The sequence below is a fragment of the Homo sapiens genome, chromosome 5 (assembly GCF_000001405.40).
Source record: "Homo sapiens chromosome 5, GRCh38.p14 Primary Assembly".
NCBI classification, from domain to species: domain Eukaryota; kingdom Metazoa; phylum Chordata; class Mammalia; order Primates; family Hominidae; genus Homo; species Homo sapiens.
Window position 1 is genome coordinate 14,722,272 of NC_000005.10, and position 27,448 is coordinate 14,749,719.

Here is a 27,448-nt window from a genome sequence, read left to right on the forward strand (position 1 = left end):
AATGAACAAGAGTCGTTCCTCTGAGCAGCTGCAGAGGTGGGTTTTCTGCTGTCGAGTTTGCTGTCAATATTCTGTCAGGACACAGCCTTCAAAATCGAATAGTCCACCCAGTGCCCAGATCTTGGTTTTTCTATTTATTCTTCAATAAAAGGAACCAGGATTCCTTAGAGAAATGACTCATTCTAGGACCAAGGCAGAGAATATGCAAGATGATTCGCTTGGAGCATCTATGGTACAAGAAGGAAGGCTGTGCCCCAAAATAAAAGAATGGGAACACGGCAAAGGGACACAGAAGCCAGGCAGAAGGAGCTTCCGAATGGCCAAAGCAAAAACAATTTGGGCAACAAAATAAGTACAGTATTGAATTATATCCCAAAATAGCAAATAAATATCCATGAGTCCCTAGGGATAGAAATTTAAAAATGGCAGAGAAGGGACAAATGTCCTGCACAGAACTCTAAATAATTCATTAGCTGCTCCCCTCTAAGGTGGGTGGAGCAGACCTTCCTGCTCCTTCTGAGGAACTTCCTTCTGAAGAGCACAGTGGGGAGAAAGGAAACCCGTCCTGACAGCAGAGGAACACGGCAGACATGACCCCAGCCATGCAATCAAGGTCAACATCCACGCACATACCCTCGATAAGATGTGATGACAGTGGCACTTTGTCTCTGTGGTCTTCCTCCCCAAAATCCCTAAGCCCAGTCTTAATCATAAGACAAACCCCAGACAAACGCACATTGAGGGACCTTCTACCAAATACCCGACCAGAACTCCTCAAAACCGTTGAGGCCTTAAAAACAAGGAAAGTCTAAAACTCTCAGAGACCAGAGGAGGCTACGGAAGCATGATGACTAGACATAATGTGGTGTCTTGGATGAGATCCTGGAACAGAAAGAGCTCACGAGAAAACAAACCAGTGAAATCCTAATGCACCATGGAGTTTAGTTCACAGTCACACACCAGGGCTGGCTCCTCGGTTGTAACATGCGCGCTGCAGTAAAGTAATGTGAGTGAGGGTGAGGAGTCTATGGGAACTCTGCACCATCTCCACAATGTTTCTGTAAATCAGAAGTTATTCTTTTTTTAAAAAAAAAAAAGTTAAAAAAAGAAGGGCTGGGCATGGTGGATGCCTGTAATTCCAGCACTTTGGGAAGTCAAGGTGGGAGGACTGCTTGAGGCCAGGAGTTCGAGACCAGCCTGGACAACACAAGACCCCATCTCTACAAACAAAATGTAGCATACCCTTAATCCCAGCTACTTGGGAGGCTAAGGCGGGAGGACTGCTTGAGCCTGGGAGGTCCAGGCTGCAGTGAGCCAAGATTGCGCCACTGTACTCCAGCCTGAGTGACAAGATCCTGTCTCCAAAAATTAAAGGAGAAAAAAAGAAGGAAGAAGAAGATGACGATTCATAATTCACTTCTCTGTTATTTGACAGACTGTGATTCATTTTCTGAGACCAGCCATTGACCGTGAAGTGTCTGCTTTGAACTCTGAGGTGCTTACATGCAGCCCAAGACACATTCATTTCTAGTAGAGTGTAGTCCCCTCTCAGTCTCTTATTCTGCATGATCAAGGGGTAGACTTCCTCATTTCTTGAATCATATTAACCTCTTTAGAAACTAACCACCACTGGGCTGCAGCTTTTTTATTCACAAACTTAAAATACAGTTTCCAGTCAGCATGTGAGCCAGTCAGTTTCCAGGGATGATTTGGTTGAGCCTAACGTTGATGATGACTCAGATCAATGAGTAATTTAACATTTTTGTCCAGGAGTGGTGGCTCACACCTGTAATCCCAGCACTCTGGGAGGCCGAGGTGGATGGATCACTTGAGGTCAAGAGTTCGAGACCAGCCTAACCAACATGGAGAAGCCCCATCTCTACTAAAAATACAAAAGTAGCCAGGCGTGGTGGTGTGCACCTGTAATCCTGGCTACTCGGGAGGCAGAGGCAGGAGAATCACTTGAACCCAGGAGGCAGAGGTTGCAGTGAGCTGAGATTGTGCCATTGTACTCCAGCCTGGTTAACAAGAGTGAAACTCTGTCTCAAAACAACAACAACAACAAAATCACATAAAAAACCCCAAAACATTTTCAAGCAGGCCTTAACTGTGTGTCGTCATTCTGTGTTGGGGCAGTACTTGACTTTTATTTCTAAATCTGTGTATCAATGGGCTAAGTCATGAAAAACTTTGACCACATATTAAGGTCCCCCAATAGGATCAGAAGGATCAGTGCAGTGATGAAGGAAATCGCCAGCTTTACAGACAGAAGACCCCTGGGTCTTACTATGCTACAGTCCGAAACAGAGCTTGGTTTTCTGAGCTAAGAACCACGGAAGGGGGATTTGAACCAAGACCTGCTTCCTCACTTGCAGAGTGGGCCATGCATGGTCCCCGAGCTCCCCTGGGGACAATCTGAGTCTCTTTTCAAAGCATTTGGAACCGGGATATGAAGCAGCCAGTTGTCTTCATCAGCACGTGAACTCAGAAACATGCCAACCAGGCCACGGTGGGACGGCCGTTTCTGTGTGTGTCCTCGGAGACCACCACCCTATGAGGGCACTGCCAAGTGCTCGGGTCTTATTTAATTTCCATAAGCTCTTAACCACATTTTGAGGAACTCACAAAGGCTTCCCCATTGCCCTGAATAACCAGAATTAGCAGTACATGAGACTCTTATCCCTGCAGTTAGAAAAAGTCAAACATATGCAGCTGTTTTGAATAAAAATCGCTGGCCCTGGACATCATTTTTATTTGGCGCTTTTGCTTGAAAAAAAGGTTCAATATACCTTTTTAATTGGGTTGAAGTCCCCACCGGGCAAGCCAGTGGTTAGCCCTCGGCAACACAAAGTGTGAAGAGGAGGTTAGGGCTTGGCACTGGCGCCTGACTGCCGGGCTGGCACTCCAACCCAGCTGTGTCTCTGTCTGTTGTCTCTAGGTGAGTTCCCTGAGCACTCCAGCCTCAGCTCTCTTCTTTCAAACGGGGATGGTGTCTCCCTCACAGGGATGCTGTGTGGACTGGGCTGCCCAGAGTGCTGGTCTGCCAACTGTGGACTGGTCCACACTGAGATAAGCAGTTGACTCCATAAAGTAAATCGATGCCTGCCTTCCTTAAGAAAGTCTTGCCATCCAAACAACGCCAGCTGAACTGGACATCATACCTGGTGACCAAGTTGATTCACATTCCGGTGCTAGCTTCTTATCCCATCACGGATGGCCAGACCTCTGGCACTCATCTGCAAACCCCGAGCCTGCGAGCACTGCAGTTTGCATAAACCGCTTTTCCAGCACCGGCACACCAAATGTGATCCACGGATGTCACCTGTGAGTATTCCAGAAGGTTTCCTGGGACCGTATTCTAACAAAACGCTAGCAGGGGAGTCCTCTGGAGGTGGTGAGATTAGGACTGATTGAATTTTCCTCTTTGTATTTTTCCGTGGCTTCCACAAAGAACATGTATTCTTTTTATCAGAAAAACATTTTTTTTTCTTTTGAGATGCAGCCTTGCTCTGTTGCCAGGCTGGAGTGCAGTGGCACGATCTTGGCTCACTGCAATCTCCGCTTCCCGGGTTCAAGAGATTCTCCCGCCTCAGCCTCCTGAGTAGCTGGGACTACAGGTACGTGCCACCACGCCCAGCTAATTTTTGTATTTTTAGTAGAGATGGGGTTTCACCATGCAGAAAAACATTTTTAAATAAAACAGACCCCTGTAGATGTCTTCACGGATATCATCAAACTTCAAATGTGATTGGGACAGGAATGTGAGAAGTCTTGTCTTGGGGGAGGGGCAGCTTTCAGAAAGTGGCTGTCAGCTTGGTTTTCACAGCCAGCGTCTTGGGAAACCATGTCCCACATCACCTCATGAGGAAGGCACACTGATTTGATATACTTAGGGGTGGAGGGGCCAGCACAGGGCAGGACACTATTAGATAACACTATGCTGTCTTGCTCGACTTTCCAGAGAGAGCTGACGCAGCCATAAGGAATGCTGTTTGGCCTTTTGTTTCTTAGTGCCAGACTGCACCAGCTGCATGCACGTAAGGAAGGAGGACAGTTCACGAAGGGTTTCACAGGTCATGGTCACGACTCTGGCTTTCACTCGGAGGGATGTGAGAGCCATGGCAGGTTGTGGGTGGAGGAGAGGCAGGGCAAGCAGGGGAAGGGCTGAATCAAGGATCCTCGTCACGGCTACTGTGACCATCCAGGTGAGAGCTGGCAAGGGTTTGGACTGGTGGGGAAGGGAGAAGAACCAATGTACAATATGAAAGACAGGAGCTGGGCAAGAGTGACGGGAGGGAGGCTGGAGGCGTGGCTGACCTGTCCTCACGGTGGTTTCCTGCTCACTTGTGAGCTGTCCCATGAGCTGGATGGGGCCTCTCTAGGAGTGTTCCTAATGTTTGCATGACTCAGTACACCCCAAATGGAATGACATGGAATTCCATCAGGACACACTCTCAGATTCCCAATTTAGAAGGAAAAACAATGCCATTTCACCAGGGTGAATTGCCGAAAGCAGGCAATATGTGAAAGTAGCAAATGACTCCCATTTCTGGGGAACGGTGCTTAAGGTGTGCATACCTGTAGCAACTGCCAGAAGGAATGGGCTCTTGGGATTGACTGACCTGTCCTCAGAAGGGTGCAAAGCCACGTGTTCCCGATACAGCACGTGAGGGGATGATGGGAGAGAGGGATGCTTCCACATCCGCGTCTTGCTCAGTGGGAGAAAGTAGGGAACCTCACAGGAGGGATGATGATGATGACCATCACAGGCAGTGGGGACACGGGAAGGAGTTTTTACTTAAGGTCAGGCTAGAAAAATTCTAGTTGGCTAACATAGGGGTAGCAAACAATAGATGAAAAATGACATCTATTACTGAGAGAAACAGAGCTTGGTTTTCTAAGCTAAGGAGCTTGGAAAAGCATATTACAAAGTGTTTATGTAGAATTTGATACCTTCCATCTGGCTTGTTGATAATCATAATAATTATTATAAATCTTGAATATTTTCATAAAGGAGTTGAAGCAATCATCAACTGTTACAGCATATTCACGGTAAAAAATCAACACTTTCAGATATAGTTTTATAACCAGCTTTTTGAAGAATATGAAAACTAAATCATCCCTTCTATCATCTAGGTTTAATGAAATTGCCAAATGCACACACTACATGAAAGCAAAGTGTCTTTCAGATCCCAACGACTTACTAATCTAGTAATGCCGCGTTGGTGGAAAGACATGACATACCTCAAACAGCAGGGGGCGCCATGCGCCAAGCCCGCAGAGGGTTGTCCAACTCCTATTCCTTTTCTCTGCAGCTTTAATCCTTTCCTGGTTTTTCTCACAGGATCTGAGGACTATTGATAAAGTTCCACACTCCAGCTTCTGTTTAGCCTTTCCTTCTCCTTGACTATTAATAGTCAACTTGGAACTTGTTTGGGACTGGGGGAAGGGGACATGAGGAGTGACTGTTTAGTGGGTATAGGGTTTCAGTTTTGCAATCCCGTTATGGGCAGATGGTGATGACAAGCAGCAATGTGAATGGACTTCACTGTCCCTTTAAAAATGGTGAGGTTGGTACACTGTATGTGTATTTTTCTACAATTAAAAAAATCTTAAAAACATTTGGAACCTGCTTATAACAGCACACTCTGTTCATTTGCTCGTTGTTTAAATGACACATGTGCATCTGCCCTGGTGTCTTATTATGAGGGCTTAGGTAGAGTTTTAGGGACTAGCCTTTATTGTCTTCATCTTACCTAAATTCCCCCAAAACAAACCAATCAACCACTCAAATCTGCTATACGTGCTGGATTTGAGCAAATGCTGGATTCCTGAAGCTTCCAGAGAGAAGTGCGGAGGGAAGGCAGAGGGAAGGAAGTCACTCACTATGCGCCAACAGCGCTCCATATGTGATTCCATTTCATCTTCATACACTCCCCAGATAGATGCCTTATTAGCTGAGGAGGACACAGGGCCTACAGGGACTGTGTGACTTGCCCCAGGTCACCGGCTGGTAAAGAGGCAGGGGCCAGAGTTCAATCCAGGCCTTGGGGCCGCAGAAGCCCTGCTTTCTCCCTGTTTCCAAGATGCCCTAAGCTGCTAAACTGTTCAGGCCCAAGGGTACTGTGAGGGGCACCAAATGAGAAAGTGTTGAATTCCATTAATTCACCTTTGGTTCTTTTCTCATCCCCCATACACAAGAGAGGCATTTTCTTCCAGTGGAGCCGGGAACAATGGGGTGGCAGTCTCCACCTCACGGCGTGGGGGTGGGGTGGCCCAGCATTAACAAAGCCTCAAACAGGCCGTCTTTGTTCCAGACAAAGGGTCAGCATGGTGCCACCGCTGGAATATGGCCTTTAGCATCCGCCCAAGAGGGCTGAGTGACAGCTATGGCTTGGGGGAAGGTTGCCACAGGAAGGTGAGACAGGGTCATTCTCATGAACGGAATTTCTAACATGGAACGCAGGGCCAGCCGGGCAAAGTCCTGTCGGATGGCAAGTTTTACTACAAGCTCAGATTCTGCTACCTTCTAGCACATGACAGAAGGACTCAGAACTGACACGCCTTACTGAGACGCAGCTGCAAATAATGGTGTGCAACCAAGACGGTGGAGTCCTTGGGGTGCCGGCCCAAGCAGCGGCAAGACAGGAGCAGCACAAGCTCACCAGGGCGCGGAAGGCCCTCTCCACTACACATGGACAGTAGGTAGAAATGGGAGTGGAGGAGCCCATCCTGACCTGCAAGGTGCGTCCAAAACTGGCCCTGAAATGATGGGAAAAAAGCCTTTTTTTTCTTTTTTTTTGAGACAGTCTTGCTCTGTCAGCCAGGCTGGAGTGCAGTGGCATGATCTTGGCTCACTGCAACCTCCGCCTTCCGGGCTCAAGTAATTCTCCTGCCTCAGCCTCCCGAGTGGCTGGGATTACAGGCACGTGCCACCATGCCTGGCTAATTTTGTATTTTTAGTAGAGACGGGGTTTCTCCATGTTGGGCAGGCTGGTCTCGAACTCCCGACCTCAGGTGATTCGCCCACCTTGGCCTCCCAAAGTGCTGGGATTACAGCTGTGTGCCACCACGCCCCACTACTTTTTTTTTATTTAGTAGAGACGGGGTTTCACCATGTTGGCCAGGTTGGTCTCGAACTCCTGACCTCAGGTAATCTGCCCGCCTCGGCCTCCCAAAGTGCTGGGATTACAGGTTGTGCCACCGCGCCTGACCAAAAAAAAAAAAAAAGTCTTCTAATTGAGGAAATTGAGGACGCGAGAGGCAGTGCCAGACAGGACCCCAAACCTCTGACTTCTAGGAGGCGTTTCCTTTCCCTGTACCTCCGCCTCTACCTGCCAGCTGTGCCTTCCAAGAAGAGGTGGTCAGAGCCTGGGTTCCACTGGGATGAGGGGCACTGTAAATACTGAAACCGTCTGTGACCTGCCACCTTGCAATGGTGGGGTAGGCTCTGGCGGGGAGAAAAGGGGTGGAGCCAGAATTCTGGTTTCTAGCTTTGGGAATGGCACTTCCCAGCAAGTGCACAGACAGGGGTTAGCTCAGTGTGTCCAAGAGAAAGACCCGGACAGAGTGGATTCTTCAGGCTGCTTCCTTCTCTGATGCCGCTGCTCTTTGTTTTCTTTCCCTCCTGAGTTGCTCTCTCTGCGGCCTGAAGTTCTGAAGCTTTAGGATCAAGACATTTTAAATACTAAACACCTTTATCCTCAGTTCCGCAGGGTTGCCTGCTCTGGGATGGCACCTACTTCCCTCCGGCAGGCAGTGAAGCCCAACAGAAGCAGCCCGCTGTGCTGTGATCCATGCTGGGTTCTACAGAAACAGCACGCAAGGTGGGGACCTGACCATGCTGGGTTCTACAGAAACAGCACACAAGGAGGGGACCTGACCAGGCCGCTAAGCCCCTCTCCTCTCTGGCAGCCTCCAACCTAATCCCTTCTCCCGGACAAAGTTTCTCCCCAGAAGCTGGAGCAGGGGGGCTCACAGCCTTGCCGGAGGGGATGATCCTGGGCTGCTGACAAAGAGAGTGGCCATGGTTTCTTCACATTCACAGGAATCAGGGAAAATTATTTTTTTTAAAGAAATTAAGGGAAACAGATTTCAAAACTTATGGAAAAGAGGCGAATATGATCTAATAGCACCAGAGATTCTAAAAGAGGCTGAAAAACTCTCAGAAGACAAATTCTCTCCCAACAACCAGAAAACAGGCCACGAGGAGGAAAACAGAAGGCATCTGAAGGCCTCATGGTCCCCAGGTGTGGAAGTGGGTACTGGGGACAGCAAAACGTGCATCCATGCCTTCACCTGAGGGCAGGGGTTTGGAAGCCAGTCTCTTGCAGGTCTCCCTCACCCAGGTCCTGGGACGCCCCACGCAGAGTCGACCTTTAAGGGCTTGCAGCCTGGAGGATGGGGCCGACGTGTATGTGGATGTGCCCAGCGTACTTGCCAGCAAGAAGCGAGCGCCAGGAGTGCAGGAGAAGGACCCCAAACCTCTGACTTCTAGGAGGCGTTTCCTTTCCCTGTGCCTCCACCTCTATCTTGCCAGCTGCGCCTTCCAAGAAGAGGTGGCCAGAGCCCGGGTTCCACTGGGATGAGGGGCACTGTAAATACTGAAACTGTCTGTGACCTGCCACTTTGCAATGGTGGGGTAGGCTCTGGCGGGGGGAAAAGGGGCGGTGCCTGTCTGTGCCAGGGAGAGGTTGATAAGGAAGCACCTGCCTGCCAAGAAGCCCGACGGGGCCCTCGAGGCCAAGGCAGCAGCCACCAAGGCAAAGCACAGAGCGAGGGGACACTGCTGCATGGGAAGCTGGAGAGGCGGCCCAACACGGGCGTGAAAGGCCATGTCGTCCTCCGGGGGCAGCGGCCAGTGGTGAAGGACTATCTGGAAGGCTGTTGGCGGATGGGTGGCTACTGAGAGGGCTCATTTCCTGAGGATCTTTATCATTTCCAAATCGGCCATGGCTAGGAGGGAGAGGCGGGCTGAAGGGGCAGCCTGGTGCACACAAGTGTCATGTCTATGGCAGGGTCTATGGTGGTACCAAACAATGTGTCCATAAGAACGTAAGAACCCCCATAAGAACAAGGTCGGGAGGTGAAAGCCCAAGTGCTCAGAGTAAAAGTGCTCAGATCAAGAAAAAGAGCTGTAAAAAATGTGCCACGAGAAAGAAGGGAAAAGGGAAAGAGCTGCCAGGGGCCGGGGGTACCTTCCAAACCCCAGCTCTCTCTCTGCCTTCTCCACCAAGGAGGGTCACCTCAAAACTAGCCAGGAAGAGCAAACCCAGCCAAGTGGGATCTGAAGACCAACACTGACAAGAGGGAGAAAAGCATTCTGTTGATAACCATAAAACTGTGCAAGGTTCCCAGCATGAACTCATCTGTGGTGGAAAGAAAGCTTAGAGAATCAGGGAGAGGCTGGGAGCCTCGAGGTTGGAAATCCTAGAAGGGCCCAGTCCTTGACTGGAGCTTATGGGTCTCATGTTTATCCTGAGAACAGTGCCAAGCGGCTAATTTAAAAAGCAGGTATAGCCTTAGGCTGCACTAGGGAAAGTGATGGGCTGACGTGTTCTGCTCCACTGCCTAGGCGTTTGATGATTTCAGCAATGCATACGGCCACAGCTGTGTGGGACAGGGCAACGTGGGGAGAGACGAGACACACGGGAGGCCCAGGGAGCTGCGCGAGTGTCACGTGAACAGGGGTCATGACGGGTCCCTAGGAAGCATCACGTGTGCCCCACAGGACCCAGGTTTCTGTGGACACGCGGGTGTTCTTTCTCACCTGAGGACTTCAAAATGTTAACATGCTTCCTGGGCCCAGGTGCAACTTCAAATTGGTCCTTACTGGCATTTTCTACTATGTGGTTGTGTCTGTGGTTCTATCAGATGTCTAGTCAGAGGACTCAACCTATTCATTCCCCTCTTTTTGTGTTCACTGCAGCTTGATGGAGAACTGGCATCTCTGTGTTAGCAAGAAGATGGGGCTCTGGTAGCACCATCTGTGCCTGGGACTGGGAGGCTGTAAATAGCAGGGGGTGACGGGTCAACTAAAGAGCTTCCCCGAGGAGAAAAATGGTTCATACAGGGGTCACATCTGTGGCAGGGTTTGTCTACTGAAGGTGTGTGTAAATCTACCGATCAAGAGACTGGCTTTTAAAAAAACAACACCCCCCACCACCAAAACCCACACAAATTTGAAGACTATAAACTTTATATTTATCTATAAGATATAGATACATATATATAATTCATAAAATTATTCCTTGGCATAAAATATACCCCTAGCTACTTATGTATATGTGCAGCCCTCTTTCCCTATGTTAGGGACCACTGAGTGTCCCGGTGGTGGAGCTGGTGGCTGAGGAGAGCTGTCATTCTTTGCATATAGCACATGCCAGGTATTTCACTAAGCTTTTACCCCTTTTAAAGTCTTAAAAGGTGAGCAATTCTTGTTGCCTCTGTGTGGCATCTGGGGAAACTGAAGATGGCAGTTTTGAGTGACTTTCCTGAAGCCACTTGGCTAGTGAGTGGTGGAGCCTGGATTTGAACCCAAGCCCTGTGGCTCCAGGGCCCACAGCTATAAGCACCAAGCTATGTAGCCAATTCCAGCTTGACCTAAATCCCTCTGCCTCCATCCCTCTTCCCTCATTAAATCAACAGACACATACAGGGCAGTTAGATGTCATGAGAGCCACAGGCGTGACAGACAGCCCCCCCAGCTGAACCCATCTCCAGTTTCAAAGGAGGGAACTTGTAAGAGATCAGTGGTGTCAGCTCCAGTTCGTGCACCCTGGCCCTCTGGAAACTTCTTTTTTGGTAACAATCAGTTCATTCTTCAAGCCACATCAGTTAAGAGCCATCTCCAGGGAGGACTACAGGCCACTGAAAACTGTCTGGCACCGGATTCATAGTGAGCAGGTTTCGAGGCACTGTTGTTTGCCATATGTGCTGTTTCTTGGCAGCGCTTTGTGGTTCTTTTAGCCTTGTACTGGGCTCAGAAGATACAAAAAGACCCCAGAAGAATTTCATGGCACCATTAAAACCCATTTACCTTACTGTGCCCGAGCAAGTGGGACATCCGACCCAGAGCTGGGGACACAGTAGTCAGCCTTTAAGAGAAAATGAAGACCCTTTTGAGCAAAGACCACAGACTAGCTAAAAGCACTTCACAAGCACTGCCCGTAGGTGCAGGAGACACCCAGGCCTGGGAGAGGGAAGCCAGTGAAGTCTCTCCTGTGCCCAGAGTGTTTTTTGATTGTTTTCTTTTGTTCCTGTGTCAAATGATATGTTACTTCATTAAACTTACAAAATGGCCATTTAGCATGCAATCAGCTGTTTTAGATCCTCATCGTGCTCATTTCACACACTGCTTCATGTAATTACCTCTATTTGGTAATTTTTGAGGTATTTTGAGATCATTTACATGGGCTTTGCTGGGCTCCCTGCCTGCTGCACCTAAGTGAATGGCCGGTCATCGGGAGTTTCAGGCCACGGGGAAAGTGCTCGTGTGCGGAGCCCCGTGTGCCTCACAGCCTCCGAGCTGGTGCTGGGCTCGGAAAGCCAAGAGGCCAGAGGCGCCACATCTTTGCTTTCTCCACGTTGATGGCGCATGCGTGTCGGGAGTGTCTGGACTAAGCGCCCCGTCAGGCTGATGTCTGGTTTCTGTACACTGTCTTTAAGCTGAGACTAAGAAAACCAATTTTTAAAAAACCTGTAGGGAATCATAAGGTATTAATCATGGAAGTCGATCAATGAAGCCCTACTGAGTGACTTCACCATTTGTGTGGGATGGCAGTTCCTGACTGACCTCTCCCTATTGCTAGATATGCGTTCTAAATTTCTCTTCAAAGAATCAGTATGTCAATATGTTCAATTCTTTGCCTTCTACTTTTAAACTTAACTTCCTCGTAAAGCAACCTTTTCTGATTACCTGCTCCACCCTGACTCATTCCGATTTCCTGCTCTGCCGTAATCATTTTTCCCCCCAAACCACTCACCCCCGTCACTCTCTTTAAATTAGCCAATCGGAATTAGTTTAGCCCGTGCAGTCTAACCCTAGCCAATAGGGAAACAACACAGCAGCAGGGGCCACGTGCGTCAGGGATAAGAACCCCTTCCCCTCCCTTGTCCATGTGTGCGCTCACCATTGCTCCATCTGTAAGGGCGCATCCTTCTATAGAAGTACATTGCCTTGCTGAGAATTAAAAAGAAAATTTTATATTCGAGTACTATGTCTTTTGTGGCACTGAAACCTTATAACACTATGATAGCTCTGCTTCCACAGCAGTGAAAACCGAAAGAGCCGGGCTGGGCACCTGCCTCTTTGAGGTGGAACTCGGGTCAGGCAGCACTCGGCAGGTGCAGGGATCCGTGGGGCCCAGGCTTTACTTCCTTAAGGGCTCAGAGGGGCTGGTGAGCAGTGCGTGTCTGCAGGCCCAGGGTATAAACAACGTGTCTTCCCTGTTGCTTTCAAACTCATTCAGGTGGTGGGCCCCACGTGGGTTCTTGGCAGAACACGGGTGTGTATTGATACGTTCAACTGAAAAATGAGTAATTTTTATAATTTTGTGCCAAATCAATTACCCTTTATAAGGTTCAAGTGGTAAATAGAAGAAGAGATCAAGATTTTGAGGCAATCTGGGGGTGAAGAAATACAAATGAATAAAATTCTAGCAACTTATTGTTTCCTGAAAATTGGAAAAATATTTCAGTTTTTGAATGTTTGTAGTGGCCCAGGTTAGTCCTGGACTCTGCAAAGACCTTGTTGAGGGGCACTGCATTATTCAATGAATAAAAAGCAGAAGAAAAACAAGAAGCAAAGTAACTTAAATCTAGTCCTGGTACTTCTATCAGTAGCTACGGTGTCAATATCCCCTGTCCCCAGAGAAACCTTTGGCAAAAATATCATTAAGCATGTAAGTACTGGCACAGGTTACCTGTATCAAAATGGCTCATGTTCCCCATAAATATGTACACCTACTAGGTACCCACAAAAAATAAAAATTAAACTAAAAAATGCAGACACAGGGCCACACTGCATAAAGTACTATATTTCTAAGCAAATCCCCTACTCACATGGAGAATCTGGAAATAAAATAATAGAGATGTCTCATGAAACTAAAAGGAGACAGAATCTAACAAAAAACAAAAACAAGTGAGTTGAATAGTTAGAAGTCTGGTTCATCAATCCATGTAGCCTTAAGTGACGAGAAGATTCCTTCCTTTCAGAAATCATAGTTGTTAGCTTGCCAGGCACCCAAAACAAAATAACACAAACTGGGTGACTCTGAGCAACAGAAAATTACTGCCCCACAGTTCTGGAGACTGAAATCAAGGTGTGAGCAGAGGCACATGCCCTCTGAAGGTGCTAGGGAAGGGTCTGTTCCAGGCCTTTCCTGGCTTCTGGTAGCTCCTGGGCTGAGGCAGCAAAACTCCAGCCTACATGTGGTGCTTCCCCTGTGTGCATGTCTGTGCCCAAATTTCTTCCTCTAAAAAGGCACCAGTCATAGGGGATTATGGGCCCACCCTACTCACCTACCAGAACCTCATCTTAACCCTATTTCCAAGTAAGGTCACATTCTGAGGTACTGGGGGTTAGGACTTTAACATAAGAAGGTTTGGCGAATCCTATTCAACCCATAACAATAAAATAGAAGGTTCCGGGTTGAATGCAGTTTCACGGTCTCCCTTTAACCCCCCACTGACTACAAAAAGCAAGGCTCAGAAAGATCCAGAGTAAAAACCTAACTTTTTTTTTTTTTTTTTTTTTTTTTTTTTTTTAAAGAATCAGATCCTTAAATACAAACAGCCATTGACCTCGGATACCCTTGCACTCTATTGCATGAGGCCACGTGGTTTGATTGGCACACTGTGCCAGCGTGGCCAGGCTTCCTTCTCTCTCTGCCTCAAGTGACAGCAACACCTCCCTACCCCCACCACATCAAGCAGCCTCCATGTGTTGAAGCCAGTGAAACCAGTTATTTGGGGACCAGTGGATGTAGTCTGGGGGCCCTGGCACAGTCCCATGACCTCTGCGTCATCAGAATGTGGGTGTGTGGGGCCAGCCCTGGACAGAGTCCCATCCACACCTGCCATCTTGAAACAGGTCAGCTCGCCAAAAATCAACCGGTGGATAACCAATTTGGCCAACCAACAAATTGTCAAATTTTCTGAGTTTTAAGATCTTGTCTCTTTTAAACTCTTCTAAAGTTTATAGCCATTTTTTACAGGAAGGATTGGCAGGGTCCCAAGGGCTGGGAGGGCCCCAGGGTCTCTGGGGCCTCCATTTTCCCTGTCTGTAACCCCACCTCTGCCATTCTGCTCCAGTTTTCTCTGAGTCGTCACCTCCCCTCTTTTTCTGACCAGTCTCTCTCCCTTCTCCTTCTGACCTTCACGCTACTCCACCTCTCTGACATTCAGTCACTCTCCTTTCCCTGATCCTTGTTCTCCCCCTTCTCTGACTTTCTCTGAATGTGGCATCCCAGGGGTGCTGGGTATAGTCGTGTAGTTCGTGCACTGCACAAAAGTGCCTGGCTGGCTCTGCTTGCCAAGATCCATCTGGAGAGATCCCATTTCCATTGTGTGCTAATGGTTTGGGGAGGCTTAGCAGAGGCCAAGCCTGTGCTTTGCATGGATTCTTCTCTATGTCTCCTGAAGCAGAGGGTCCCCCTCTCTTGGCACTAACTCCCCAAAGTACAGCAGAGCAGGGAGCTTGAGAAGATAAACAGCAGATGTTCTGAAAATGCCATTGTGAAATCAAAATGGAAACTAGTCAACTAAAAGCATCCAAAGGTGTTAAAAACTTCTGTTTATTAAAATATGATTGGCTATGGACTTCAGAAACAGTTTTAAAAAGTCATGTTTTGGGTAAATTGGCAAATTTGGTAAACTTAGCAGCCCGATGGGCTGGCTTTCACCACTTGGCCTGGCATGCAGGAATAGGGAGGTCCGTCACTCTTTTGGGACATTTCTTCCCCACCAAAAGGACTGTTGGAAGATACAGCCCATGCCGGTGAGTGGTTTCTATCTTATCCCCACTTCTAGAGTCCAGGAGGGCACCATGATAGGCCCCAGGGGTTTGTAGGAGGCTGGGTTTCTGTAAGTTCAGCACTGCAGCTGCCTTCCCCACGTAAGAGGAAGGACTGTGGTGCCTGCTCCTCTCTTGTGAGCTCACTGCTGCCTCAGCCTGTGGCTCCAGGAGTGTCTACCTAGAGAAGCACAGCCTTTTAGGGCACACTCACTGTCACTGTGTTCTACAGCCAGTCACATGAGCGACAGAGACCGCAGCTGTCCAGGAAGGCTCAGGGCAAGGCGACCACTGGCTCTGACTCCAGCACCAGTGGAGACACCTTGCATGGCGAGGCTGCGACGCAGTCTCCTTTGCGTGGCTGCAACCCTGCACGCTTCCACGTGAAAGCAGACCCTCTGAAGCTGTTCTTCCAAATGGCTTTATGCCACATATATTTTTGAAATGTGCTTCCCTTCACCCCAAACAGCTGCTTGTCAGTCAGCAGGCGCCTTGCTAACCTGGGTTTGCACTGTGTCTGCTCCCTCGTTGCTATCAAGGGGATTCCGTTTCATCTGACAGTTCTACTGTTTTGAAGCCAATCTTTTGGATCAACTAAAGGTACCCCCTTTCTCATCCTCATGCCCATCAGATGGTTTAGAGAGATCAATCAACCTCCGGCTAAGCATGCCTAACCGCAGCTCTGAAGGACTGAAAGCAAGATGCTAACGGAAATGGCGAACATTTCCATTTTCCTACTCTACACCCCTCTGACTTCAGCCCCTCTTCCACACTGGGCAGAAGACATCTGCTGCTTTTCTTAAAACCCAGTGATCAACAAAACTGCTGGATAAGAGTACAAGGGCAGAACCAACTTCTGGAGTAGGACAGATACTCTAAATTTAAATAGAAAATGTGTAATAGGGAATAAACAAACACGTCATTGTAACATGCTGAAATGAGCCTCTTACTAACTGTCAGCAGTGACACCGCGGTATTTTTCACAGGCAAAGGCGGTGTTGAACTCAAATGTCAGGGCCTGGAAAGGGGGCTGTTCTGAGGGAAGGATGCATTTTGATTCTGGACAGTATACGTTTTCCTTTGAATCACTGAGTCATTGGGTGTCTACAGGATCCTGGGGGTCAGCTCTTCTCAAAAGACTCAGGGATAAAGCTGATTTTCCCAAAGCAGCGGAGTGTGGGAAAGCGTGCTAACGTTGGCCAATGCGTGGAGGGCTGTGGCATCATCACGCAGCTCCTACTGTATACACAGAATCATCTGCTGAAATAAACACCAAGTGTGCTGCTCTCAAGCGTTTCAATGACCTCTGCTACATTAATTTCCTGATATTACGAAGTTTCAAAATTCAAAAAAACAAAAACAGGCCAGGGGCAGTGGCTCATGCCTCTAATCCCAGCATTTTAGGAGGCCAGGAATTCGACATCAGCCTGAGCAACATAGTGAGACCCCTTCTATACAAACAGTTAAAAAAAAAAACCCAAAACCAAGGAAAAAGAAAATAGACTAGAAAATCAAGAGCCTTTTAAAAGCTTTTACGATAATACAGACTGAGCATAAATGAGAAGATTGCCATTCACAAGGGTGAATGCTGTCGGTACCTTACTGACCGGTGTCTCATAATTAAGGATTAGTTGATTCCTGTGTTTGTTAACTTGTTACTGTGACCTTTCTCAGTGTCAAGCAGGATGCTAAGCCCTGGGGATAAAAGATGACATTGCAGACCCTGCCTCATGAAGTTTGGGGCCCAAGAGCAGCAAAAGATGTACAAGAATGAATACAGTAAGAGACAGAATAAGGTGAGTACTCATTACAGGGACAGTTTAATGTTTAATTTAGAAAGAAAAATCTCCGGCTGGGCGCAGTGGCTCATGCCTGTAATCCCAGCACTTTGGGAGGCCGAGGCGGGCAGATCACTTGAGGTCAGGAGTTCGAGACCAGCCTGGCCGATATAGTGAAACCCCATCTCTACTAAAAACACAAAAATCAGCCGGGTGTGGTGGCGGGTGCTTGTAATCCCAGCTACTTGGTAGGCTGAGGCAGAAGAATCATTTGAACCTGGGAAGCAGAGGTTGCAGTGAGCCGAGATCATGCGCCTGCACTCCAGCCTGGGCGACGGAGTGAGACTTTGTCTCAAAAAAGAAAAAAAAGAGAAAAATCTCCCTTTATATTTTTTTCTATGTGTCTTTCAGTGAAAACTCCTTTAGCCAAGATGTTGGATCAATTGATTGAATCATCATAAGGATGGTGTACATGAGACCCTTCCTAAGCCACAAACTCAAATACTATGGTTTTTAATGGGCAAAAAATCACTGTTTCAGGCATGGTGGCAAGCGCCCCAATCTGGAGGCCTAAGGGCCAATATTTGTTCCTACTCTCTGGGAACAGTGTGGTTCAGAGCACAGGGCCCTGGAGAGCATGCCCTGAAGGCTGGGCTGTAGCCGGTTCTATTACTGGATACTTGGACAAGTCACTTGTCCGGTGTGAATCATTTCCTTTTCTGAAAAATTATGGGTTTTGACTAGTTCATCTCCAAGTTCCTGTCTGACAAAGGGTTCTGAATCTCTATTTCTAGAAGGTGAAAATTTACCCTGAGAAACTTCAAGTCACAGATGGTTTTTAGATAGAGGATTAGAATAATAAATAAAGCCTCTACCTGGGAAATGTAAGCATTTTCCCAGATTATAAGTCATTATCATTTCAAAATAAACTTGCAGAATATTTTTTTTAGAAGTATAAATTATTGCCTGTGAACTGAAAGAGAGGTGAATGTCCTTAAGCCCAATCCGGTAAAGCTCTCCATCAGATTCAACTCTAGCAGCGGAAAGATGTTAAACAGTATGAAAGAAGACAGAGGAGGTGAGTTTCTGGACCGCAGAGCCAGCGGCAGCCAGGCGTTGTCAGCTTTATATGCAGATGAGGTCCAAGTCACAGGGCCTCACAGCAGAGTTAATTCAACCTTGGATTTCCAGCCATTTAACACAGTCTCCAAATGCTGAGGTCTTTTCCTGGAAAAGAAACCTGCTCTGTTCTGCCTAAAATGCTCTTAAATGGTTTCAAAGTTGCTCAGTGTTTTGCTAATGTTTTAGGGAACTATGGAAAAGCTTGGGCACCACAGAGAGAAATCATGCTAACAGGGGAGCATGGCTGCCTGGGGAACCGGCCCCGCTCAAACAGGCATTGCTATCAGCAATTCTTCTGCAGTGAGGCAGTGCTGGAATAGGTTCCCAACGCCCCCGTGTTCCACAGGGACAGGCTGGCAAAAGGGGCTGTGTTGGTGGTGACAAGGGCAGCTGAGGACACGAGGTCATGACTCGGCAGTGTCAGAGGTCTTCTGTGATGGGCACTGCCCTTGTGACAATCTAATTAGGTGTTGGATCAACGGATCAAATACTAAGCTGCAGGCTTTCAAAATGTCCATTAAAGGTTTAAAATGTACGCAGGCCTTGAGTTTAATGGCCCACTAACAGAGCTCATCAAGCTCCACGGTTCTTGTGATGACGGTAAGAAGGACCCAGCCCCTGTGCTCCCGTTATTGGCATACTCCAACACCTTCACGGCCTCCGGTCCTCTTTATTAGTTATTGACAATGACAACTGCACACATCTCGACATTTCTGCAAATATTTCTATTGTATATGCGAAAGTAAGTTTCTACCGGATTTAATAGGACATGTGTTGTGACAACAATAAACAAGGAAAACAGAACCGAGTTCAAAAGACTCTTATTTCTTCTTATCGTCTTTTTCATCTCCATCTTTATAACCCAAAGGGCACAGTCTCCAACGGAAGGCTGTTTATAAACGGTAAGTTTTTTGCCACTGTTGATAAACGCTCTAAAAAAACCTTAAATTATATACCACGTCCTTTGGACTATAAAGCATGTACCTATTTTATCCATGTTTTTTGAACATTATCAGTGTTCGCACACATCCGAATTACACACATGGGCTTCATAACGAAGGATGCGTGTTGTTTATTTAAGGTTGCGCATAGAAATACAGACAGGCTTTGCTGCTGACACAGTGTCACACACGCTTGCTCACAGCTGTATCCTCAGCAGACAGATGGGCCTGGGATCCCGCAGGGGCTCAATGCCTATGGGCACGTGATGGCCACGTAAGTAAGCTATGTCAGCACAAACATAACTGGAAAGGAAATTTTACTGGGGAACACTGAAGTAACGCGGATTAAATTTGGAAAAGAGACAGGGGTGGTTGTAAAGTTGACTTTCGATGTTTAAAAAGTGGGCTAGAAATTTTTCAGCAAGACAAGTGTACTATTCCAATTAAAGGCAACCTCTTCCTTTCTGCAGCATTTGAGAAGTCCCAAGAAATGCCTGAAGTGGGTCCTTTATTCCTAGACTCAAGGGCCTCCTTGAATAACAATCGTTCACATTTGAAGAAGAAAGTGTATTGAAGAGATTGCTAATTAATCCAGCATCACATTACATTGTGGAAAATAAGATTTCCCCCTTTAAAATAGCAACTTGCCCCTTTACAAAAACCAAACAGAGAGAAGAGGCAGAGAGAGCCTCTGTCCTTACCGTGAGTGACAGAGCCATGCAGACGAAGGTGAACTTCTTGATGTGGGCTGCCGTGACTGTGTTGCTCGTGCTCACCAGTTTGTTGCTGGGGTTATTCTGGGGAAAGAAAACCACAGTCATGAATGGGCCCGGCTTATCCTTGGCTGAACCCACCGGGGGATCTTGAAGAGCATCTTGCTTTTGTTTTATCTGATGTGTCTGAATTAGAGGTTTCAAGTGACAGTTTGCCAGGCGGCTGTCATGTTGAGTGTCTCTCGGGCAGCTGTCAGGTCCCTGTACAGGATCATTAACCTGAGTGAATTCTCGACTCAATGCCCTGCAGCTCTTCCAACTCAGTCACCTCCCCTCTGCCTGGGCAGCCCATCTTGCCCAGTCCTGGGGCTTTGGCTCTGAAGCCTGCTCCTGCCCCATGCACCCCGCTCCTGGTCCCAGCAGACCCTGTGCCTGGCCACCATCGGCATCTCCCTAAATGCCATGGCCCTGCTCAGTGTCCTCCAGGGCTCCTCTCCTCTCTACCAAATGGACTATAAATTCCACTGGGCATTCAAGGCCTTGTGCAATCTGACACAGACTCACTTTCCAGCCATGACTTCTCCACTTCTAGCCCAGATGGGACTTCCTGCTCTTCCCCTGACACACCTGGTGCTTTTGTTCCTCCTGCCATTGAATCCTGATTTTCAAAAACATCCCTCTTTCTAAGGCCCATCATCTTCACTGCTCATCTGTTCCCTAAAGCCTCTCTGACCTTTGACCTCCAAGCTGGGCCCCACCTCCTGTAAAGCCTGATGACCCTGGAGCTCTCTGAGGGCAGGCATCATGTCCTGTCATGCGTCCAACCCCGGTGAGGCTGTGCTTGCTGAGATAACGCCCTGCGTGTCTCCCCTTGAATCACTCAGCACAACATCTGCGTAGAAAAGATGCCCCAAGAACACCTGCTGCACTGCATTTCAAGCAGGACTGCAGGGGGCTCAGATGTCACCCAGCTTGACAGTCAAAGGCGCCTGCCGAGGCTCTCCAGCTGCACTGCTAAGCGTGCTCCTCACCCCTGCAAAACGAGGGCCTGGCCCCCAGACCACGAAAACTGGCAGAGAAAAATAACCCTGACCTCATTATGGACCCAATTAGTCCCAGAGTCGACTCACAAAAACAAACCCTGAACACCTGGCTCCGCATCCAGCCGCGTGAAACACACACCCACAGCTACTACAGGATCCACCTGGAAAAGAGCTTGTGCTTTTCCTTTACTGGGAGGCTAAGGTCATTTCTCAAATCCCTTCCACCACCAGCACCAACCTCTGAATGAGTATACGTTTTCTTAATTCTAGTCTCTAAAACATATCTGTTTTCTAGACTGCTCTATGGCAAAGTACAAGTCCCAGTGGTTGGAGACCTCCGTCTCCATTCACCCTGGATCTGTTAGAGGACTGCATTCTGTAAGAGCACTGCCCTGCTGGGTACGATGAGGAGGCCTATGTTGGAAAGAATTAGGGAACCTCAGCAAAACACACATACTGCCATGGGGACAGCAACGTACCACAGCTCCTTCAGGGGCACTGTGATTTGCAAAATGGCACATATTCACATGAAGATCGTGAAAATAAACCAGCAGGTATTGTTAGATTAGCACTGGAGTTTCAGTTTGTTTGCCCAATTGGCTCAGAAGCATCCTTTTTTGCAGGTAACTGAACATTAGAGAGCATCTGCACTAGTGGAAACCTTTCTCAGCTCATGCTTAGCTAGAACTCCCGGAAGGTATGTGAGAAATTTTAAATCTCTGATTCTGGAGCCCACAAAGAAGCTCAGGATTTCAACTGTCAATGCAGCAAATTCTGGAAGTCCATATGGAGGTGCCTAAGATTTTGGTGAATAGACGGCATTCATATAAATGGCTGGTGTAGCTCGCTGGAATGCTTGGAAACAATGGGCGAGGTTTTAAAAGGATTTGGAGTAACTCGAAGTTCTGGTGAGAGGTATGCTCGTTAAAGGAATTTTTTTATAGCTCCTAGCCTCTGTGATCAAGAATAAAACAATGTTTTTCTTGGATGCTCTTACTGAAACCATACAGTGTTGTATTGTTAAATTTTATGATTTCAAGGTGGCCAAAAATAATCTCAGATGAGACCTAAGCAGCCAGGAGGTTCTAACACTTCAGCACTTGCCCTTCTCATCAGTTTCATCAGATGATCACCTTATTAATCAGGAGCTAGAACTGAAATTTAGCAAGAAGACATACATTCATGCTGGTTTTCTAGGATTTACTTCTATACACACGTGCCTTGAAATGAAAACAATGATTTCTATCTATAGACTGAATTAAACCCACTCAAACACAGTGTCTGCTCTCTCCAGCAAGTGACTCATGCCTTCTGAGTCCACTCTCAAAGGCCTGTGAAGCAGGAACCAAAAGCATTTCTTAGGAGATGCTCTGCATCCTGATGCTGCAACTGAATATTCCCAGTAGGTGGTGAGTCCTAACTCACAGTCCAGTAGGTGGTGGGTCCTAACTAATGGTCCACTGAGGAAGTTCCACACTCAGTACAGGGTTCTGGGTCTATCGCCCATTAGCTTAGGCAGGGGAATCCCTCACTGGTTTTCAGGTGGTTTACCCTTTCCCACGTGACCATGGGTAAGGGAAATAGAGGAGACAGGTGATAGAGACAGGGAAGAGTGGCCTGGGGGCTGGCAGTGGAAGAATACCCTGATGGGGAAGTGGGAGCAGGCTGTGTGTGGAGGTGGACGTGTGTGTGTTTGCACAAGCATGCATTCACAGAGAAACTGCTCGGGAACTGCAGGAGCAGAGGAGGAGGAGGGCAGATGTGGGTGATCACTCCAGGCTTGATCCTCCGTCTCCACCTCACACTTTCAGAGATGCCTGGGGGGATGCCCTTGGGCCAGGCTGTAAGGTGTGGTGGGGGAGAGGGGGTCCCCAGGTCCCTGCTCCGCAGGCCTCGCCCCTCTCAGAACCCACAAACGGTCTCAGGGGGGCATTTTGGAAGCTGGTGGCCACGTGAAGGAAGGAGAGAGGCCTGCAGCCTGTGGCCTAGCCTTGTTGTGTGGCTTCCCAGGGCTTCCCGTGCCCAGGAGAGGTCAGGCCGGCGGTGGGGGAAAGAGGGAGGGGCCAGCATTACCCAGGGTCCAAGGCCAAGCTGCCCATTCTGCCAGAGCTGAGCGCTGTGGACACCCCTGGCCAGGAGGCTTCCTCTCCTCACTTCACAGGCTCTGGCTGGGATAAGACAGTGTGATGCTGGCAGTGGCTGCTAGTTCTGCAGACATTCAAGGCACAACAGGTGCCCTTCACGGTAAGAAGTAGCAGTCTGTTTGCTTCCTTCCTGTGTATCATTTTAAAACACTGTAGACTATTTTTGGAGTATGTTTCACCAGCCATTTGTTTTAGAGTATTAAAAAAAGTCTATAGGTTTAAATGATAACGCTATAAAATAGACTTTAATTGAATGACAGCAGGACAGTGCTGACTGGGTCACAAGTTACAGGGCAGAAGGGTTATGTGACTCCCATGGCTGGGGAGACAGAGCAGCTGTCAACAGGCTTTCCACTGGAATACGTCTGCAATATCAAAACACTGGACCCAGGTCTTGCCTGTGGCCAACCTGAGCATGTAGGTAGGCCAGCCCACAGAAAGACAGCCACGCACGGCTTCCTGCCTACACCTTAGCCATCTGGTATGGGGTCAGCAAAGCATTCGTTTAAAGAAACAAACCACAGAAATAAAATCCCATAAATTGATTTTGGGGGAAGTTTATTTTCCCTTTCGCAAACAAATCATTTCTCAATGGGAATAACCTGAAAGTAACCACAGGCTGATCACTTTGGAAAAGCATCCTGGGATCAGCGTCAAAGGTAAGCTTCAACTTGCCCCTGTTATTTTCTGAGGAAAATATTCCTTCAATGCCCCCAACGTCACATTAACCTTACAAAGGGAAGCAGGACTGAGAAGCAACAAAGTGTCCCTCATCAGAGAGCCCTGTCTATCAAGAAGTCATTTCAAAAGCATGTTTCAGACACGACACCGCACGGGTTCTCACCTTGTCGAAAGCAGGATACACAGCACGGATTTCCGTCAACCAGCCGTATGGCATGTGACCCACAGGGTATGTGGCTGTCAAAATCGCCACTGCCTGCAACAGGAAGAGGTGGCAGAGTTAGCAGGGTACCAGCAGGAAGTCCTCCAGGAGCTACAGTAGGTGACGAAGCACGCCGACTCAGGTGCAGCCACTGAGGACAGAGCCCGCTACACTGGGTGACAAACATCAGGCAAGCACAGGACGGCCCAGGACGGGGGGAACTGACAGCAAATTGGGCTCCTAGGGGCAGGTACTCTGCCTCATCCCTGGGAGTGCAATGAGCCAGCCAACAAAGTGGACGTGAAACGAGGGGGATGCGTCACATTTTACGCAGATCCAATGAGAAACAGGTGCAGACCACTGGCTGGGAAGCCAAGATTCCTTTTTTTTTTTTTTCCTTCTCTCTTTCTTTTAATTTTTGAGGGAGACCAGAGTTTATTATTACTCATATCAGTCTCCCCGAGCATTGGGGTCAGAGATGAAATTATAGGAAGTCGGAGCTGTCTTCTTGTGCTCAGTCAGTTCCTGGGTAGGGGCCACAACAAGATCAGGTGAGCCAGTTTAATGATCTGCGTGGGGCCAGCTGATCCATCAAGTGCAGGATCTGCAAAATAAGCACTGAACTTTGGAGCAGTTTAGGGAGGATCAGAATGTTGTAGCCCCCAGCTGCATGATTCCTAAAACATAATTTCTAATCTTGTGGCTAATGTTAGTCCTACAAAGGCAATCTAGTCCCCAGGCAAGAAGGAGGTCTGCTTTGGGAAAGTGCTGTTACCATCTTTGTTTAAACTATAAACTGTAAGTTTCTCCCAAAGTCAGTTCAGCCTACACCCAGGAATGAACAAGGACAGCTTGGAGGTTGGAAGCAAGATGGAGTCAGTTAAGTTAGATCTCTTTCACTGTCTCAGTCATATTTTTGCAAAGACGGTTTCAATCCCTCCCTTTGGGTTTTATTACACCTTAATCAAGTGTAGGCTATGAAGATGGGAAAAGACCATCCATTGCTCTGAGAAGCCAAGATTTCAACCCAGGTCCACCTGACTCCAGAATCCTTGCTCATTCCATTGAGCCACACAGAACCCTCTAGTCTAGCTCTATTTATTTTGGATTCTCAAAATGCAACTGCGAGCCCTCCCTGCTCTCTGGAGGGTCTCTTCCTTGGGACCCACCTCTAAGCCTCCACTCCGTCCTTCAGGGATGCTGACATTTTGCGTGGTTGTTGATGGCTCCGTGCTACTCTCCTTACAACCCAACTCACTCCCAGTCTGTATGGGATTTCTGACCATAATTTGGTCAGTATGGCCCAATTTAGATTTTTAATTTAAGAAAATTAAATACATATTTTGTGCAGAAAGCTATCAATGTGTTTCCATGAAAACATGAGTTTCTGACCAGCCATGGTAGCTTAAGCCTATAATCCCAGCACTTTGGGAGGCCAAGGTTGGAGAATTGCTTGAGCCTGGGAGTTCGAGACCAGCCTGGACAACAAAGCGAGACACCGTCTCTACAAAAGAAATTCAAATATTAGTTGGGCATGGTGGCTTAGGAGGCTGAGGCAGGAGGATCGCTTGAGCCCAGGAGATTGAGGCTGCAGTGAGCTGTGATCGTGCCACCACTGCTCTCCTACCTGGGTGACAAAGCAAGACCCCACCTCTTAAAGAAGAAAAAATAAAATGACAGTTTCTTCCCTATGTGAATGAAAAGGAAGAAAAGCGAAAACAAAGCATCTAAACCTACATCCTGGCAGTGTTCAACCCTCTGCCTAGCCTGCGAAGGAGGAGAACGAGCTTCATCTGTTTTAATTAACAAAACGGCAATGTCCAGAGGTTCCAGGAACATGAGGCAAATCCCCAGCAATGTGAAGAAAGTGTGGTGTGGCGTGCTGTGCTAGAACAAAAAGGAGCATTGGGATCGGGCGGACCTGGATCCAAACCTTCACCTCATCGCTCCCCAGCTGTGCGAAGCACCACCTCTCCCACGGCTCCCCTTCTTGCTGCTCTGGTGGAATAGTAAGAACAATAATATCCATCCCATAGGGTTACTGGGGAGTCAAGGAAATGTACATAAATGCCTGGCACATGAGCAGATGACCAATAAATGCCAGTGCTGTACCCCACGTGCTGTTCCTATATGCCATCGAGAGCAATTTTCAAATGGCTCTAATGTATAATTTGTCCTTTTTCTTTTTTTTTAAAGGGGTGGATGGAATTCTAGCACACAGGTGGTGGGGGTCCCATACTTTTTGTGAGAAACTTGAACTGAAGTATTCAAGAACAAAACCTGTGTGTTACAGTAGCCACCCAAGATGATGTTTATGATTCAAAAAACAAAATCCAGGAACACATGAAGCAAGAGAAAGCGTTCTGCTTTTGATTTATGTGCTTCTTTTTCCAGGAGAACATGAGCAGCTTCCCAGGACATGGAAACTGGCAGGCACTCTGGCTGGAGACATGCTGACAGCGCAGTAAGGGCTCCGGGCCGCTCCCCTCAAGGCAGTGCCTGGACAGGGGGCCCTCGTGGGCAGCCATGAGCCTTCCTTGGGACCAGCAGTTCCAGAGATGGAATTAATTCTCCAGAGGGCAGTGGAGGAGGAAGCCAATGAAGTAATTCTATTTGTTCAAACCCAACTTGAAAGAGGGAAAAATGAGTCAACTCTTTCTTTGGAGTGGCTGCCAGTTTCCAGATAAAGTTTGTTCAATCAAGGAGCTCCCCATCTGAGGTGGGCATGCCAGGCACGGGTGTGGTGGTGACGGGTCAGGTGGCACATGCAGGATGGTGAAGGGCAGGTGAGGGCAGGCCGGGTCAACACGGAGGCAGCGCCCCTGCAGCCACTGGGTGTGTCCCACTCTGCTGCCATGTGGCATGCATGCTCCATCATCCTCTGCCACCACGGTGAAGAGGCCAGTGCTGATTCCGTGGACATGGAAAACTGAGTGGGAGTCAGAAAACCTGGATTCTAACACTAGCCCAGCTTCCAGCTAGTTCTGTGTCTTTAACCTTTTCTTTCTGTGCCTCAGTTCCTCATATGATAAACAAGAAGGATGTACGACATGCATGACAGGTTTTCTCCCATAATCATAAAAATATACAATTACATGACTATAAGTCACCGAACGAGATCTTTATGGCTTCCTAGTGTGACTGTCATGTAATTTAATATTGGGGAATTACTTGAGCTCTCGAGAAGAACTGGAAATCAGTTTCAGCACCCCCCTGCCCCACCAAGGTGATCATAAGCCCCACATCCCCAAAGCATGGCCCACCTCTGTGGCTGCAGAACTGCCACCAAGGTCCCGGGAAACAAAGAGGTTGACAATAGGCCGACTGATTCTCTGTGTGGCCAGAATTAGAGCCAAAGGCCACCAGAAGCTCAGCATCTTTCTTATTGTTGCATCTCCCTGTGTTAAGAAACGAAGATAAAAGTTACCTGAACTCTAGAAGCAGAATGGAAAAAACGATTCAGAATCAAAGCTTTTCCTTCGTATGTTAATCACAAGCCAATTCACTATACTTGAAAGTAATATAAGGAAAAGTGTCTGTAGACAAGCCAAGTTGAATTAAAATAAAATGTTCAGTCCTAATAGAAATTAACCGAGACAGCTGGCAAGCTGCTGTGAAATTAAAACACACACTGAAGTTTAATGGATCCCAACCACTCTTTTCCATACTGAGACTCGGGGAATCTCTAACCAAGGTAGAACCCACATCTCGAGCCTGAGAAACAGGTTTGAAATTAAGTCTTTGTTAATCTCATCAAATGGACTGGCTGGAAGCCACGTCAGGAAGAGGTAACTCTTAGAAATAAAAAAGT

The 27,448-nt window shown here is 47.8% G+C and overlaps 1 protein-coding gene and 1 long non-coding RNA gene across 4 annotated transcripts in view, besides 5 other annotated features; one reads left to right on the forward strand and one right to left on the reverse strand.

The window, feature by feature from the left end:
- Positions 1-27,448, reverse strand: part of ANKH (ANKH inorganic pyrophosphate transport regulator) — a 166,979-nt gene that overhangs the window by 17,472 nt on the left and 122,059 nt on the right. For 2 of the 3 annotated variants that reach the window (NM_054027.6, XM_017009644.3), the window contains exons 6-8: positions 26,901-27,035; positions 23,599-23,691; positions 19,556-19,651 (exon numbers count right to left, since the gene is read on the reverse strand). In NM_054027.6, the coding sequence (NP_473368.1) occupies positions 19,556-19,651; positions 23,599-23,691; positions 26,901-27,035 (324 nt within the window). Of the gene's footprint in view, positions 1-18,961; positions 19,108-19,555; positions 19,652-23,598; positions 23,692-26,900; positions 27,036-27,448 lie in introns of those variants that run through there. The other variant, XM_011514067.2, reaches the window with a different exon arrangement.
- LOC124900944 (uncharacterized) lies at positions 1,116-18,717 on the forward strand. The gene is made up of 2 exons (XR_007058699.1): positions 1,116-6,744; positions 7,708-18,717. It is a non-coding gene; the product is annotated as an uncharacterized LOC124900944 (long non-coding RNA).
- Positions 1,680-1,759: an enhancer, noted in NCBI's record as "active region_22413". NCBI's record gives its function as "activates an Ori minimal core promoter by ATAC-STARR-seq in GM12878 lymphoblastoid cells {active_cell/tissue: GM12878}" and the evidence as "EXISTENCE:reporter gene assay evidence [ECO:0000049][PMID:35858748]".
- Positions 5,108-5,302: a silencer, noted in NCBI's record as "fragment chr5:14727488-14727682 (GRCh37/hg19 assembly coordinates)". NCBI's record gives its function as "represses an EF-1alpha promoter that drives an FKBP-Casp9 reporter gene in an ReSE screen in K562 erythroleukemia cells {active_cell/tissue: K562}" and the evidence as "EXISTENCE:reporter gene assay evidence [ECO:0000049][PMID:32094911]".
- Positions 5,431-6,390: an enhancer, noted in NCBI's record as "OCT4-NANOG-H3K27ac-H3K4me1 hESC enhancer chr5:14727811-14728770 (GRCh37/hg19 assembly coordinates)". NCBI's record gives its function as "activates a minimal SCP1, AML or CMV promoter by ChIP-STARR-seq in naive and primed H9 embryonic stem cells {active_cell/tissue: H9 hESC(naive and primed)}" and the evidence as "EXISTENCE:reporter gene assay evidence [ECO:0000049][PMID:30033119]".
- Positions 6,391-7,349: an enhancer, noted in NCBI's record as "OCT4-NANOG-H3K27ac-H3K4me1 hESC enhancer chr5:14728771-14729729 (GRCh37/hg19 assembly coordinates)". NCBI's record gives its function as "activates a minimal SCP1, AML or CMV promoter by ChIP-STARR-seq in naive and primed H9 embryonic stem cells {active_cell/tissue: H9 hESC(naive and primed)}" and the evidence as "EXISTENCE:reporter gene assay evidence [ECO:0000049][PMID:30033119]".
- Positions 22,099-22,208: an enhancer, noted in NCBI's record as "active region_22414". NCBI's record gives its function as "activates an Ori minimal core promoter by ATAC-STARR-seq in GM12878 lymphoblastoid cells {active_cell/tissue: GM12878}" and the evidence as "EXISTENCE:reporter gene assay evidence [ECO:0000049][PMID:35858748]".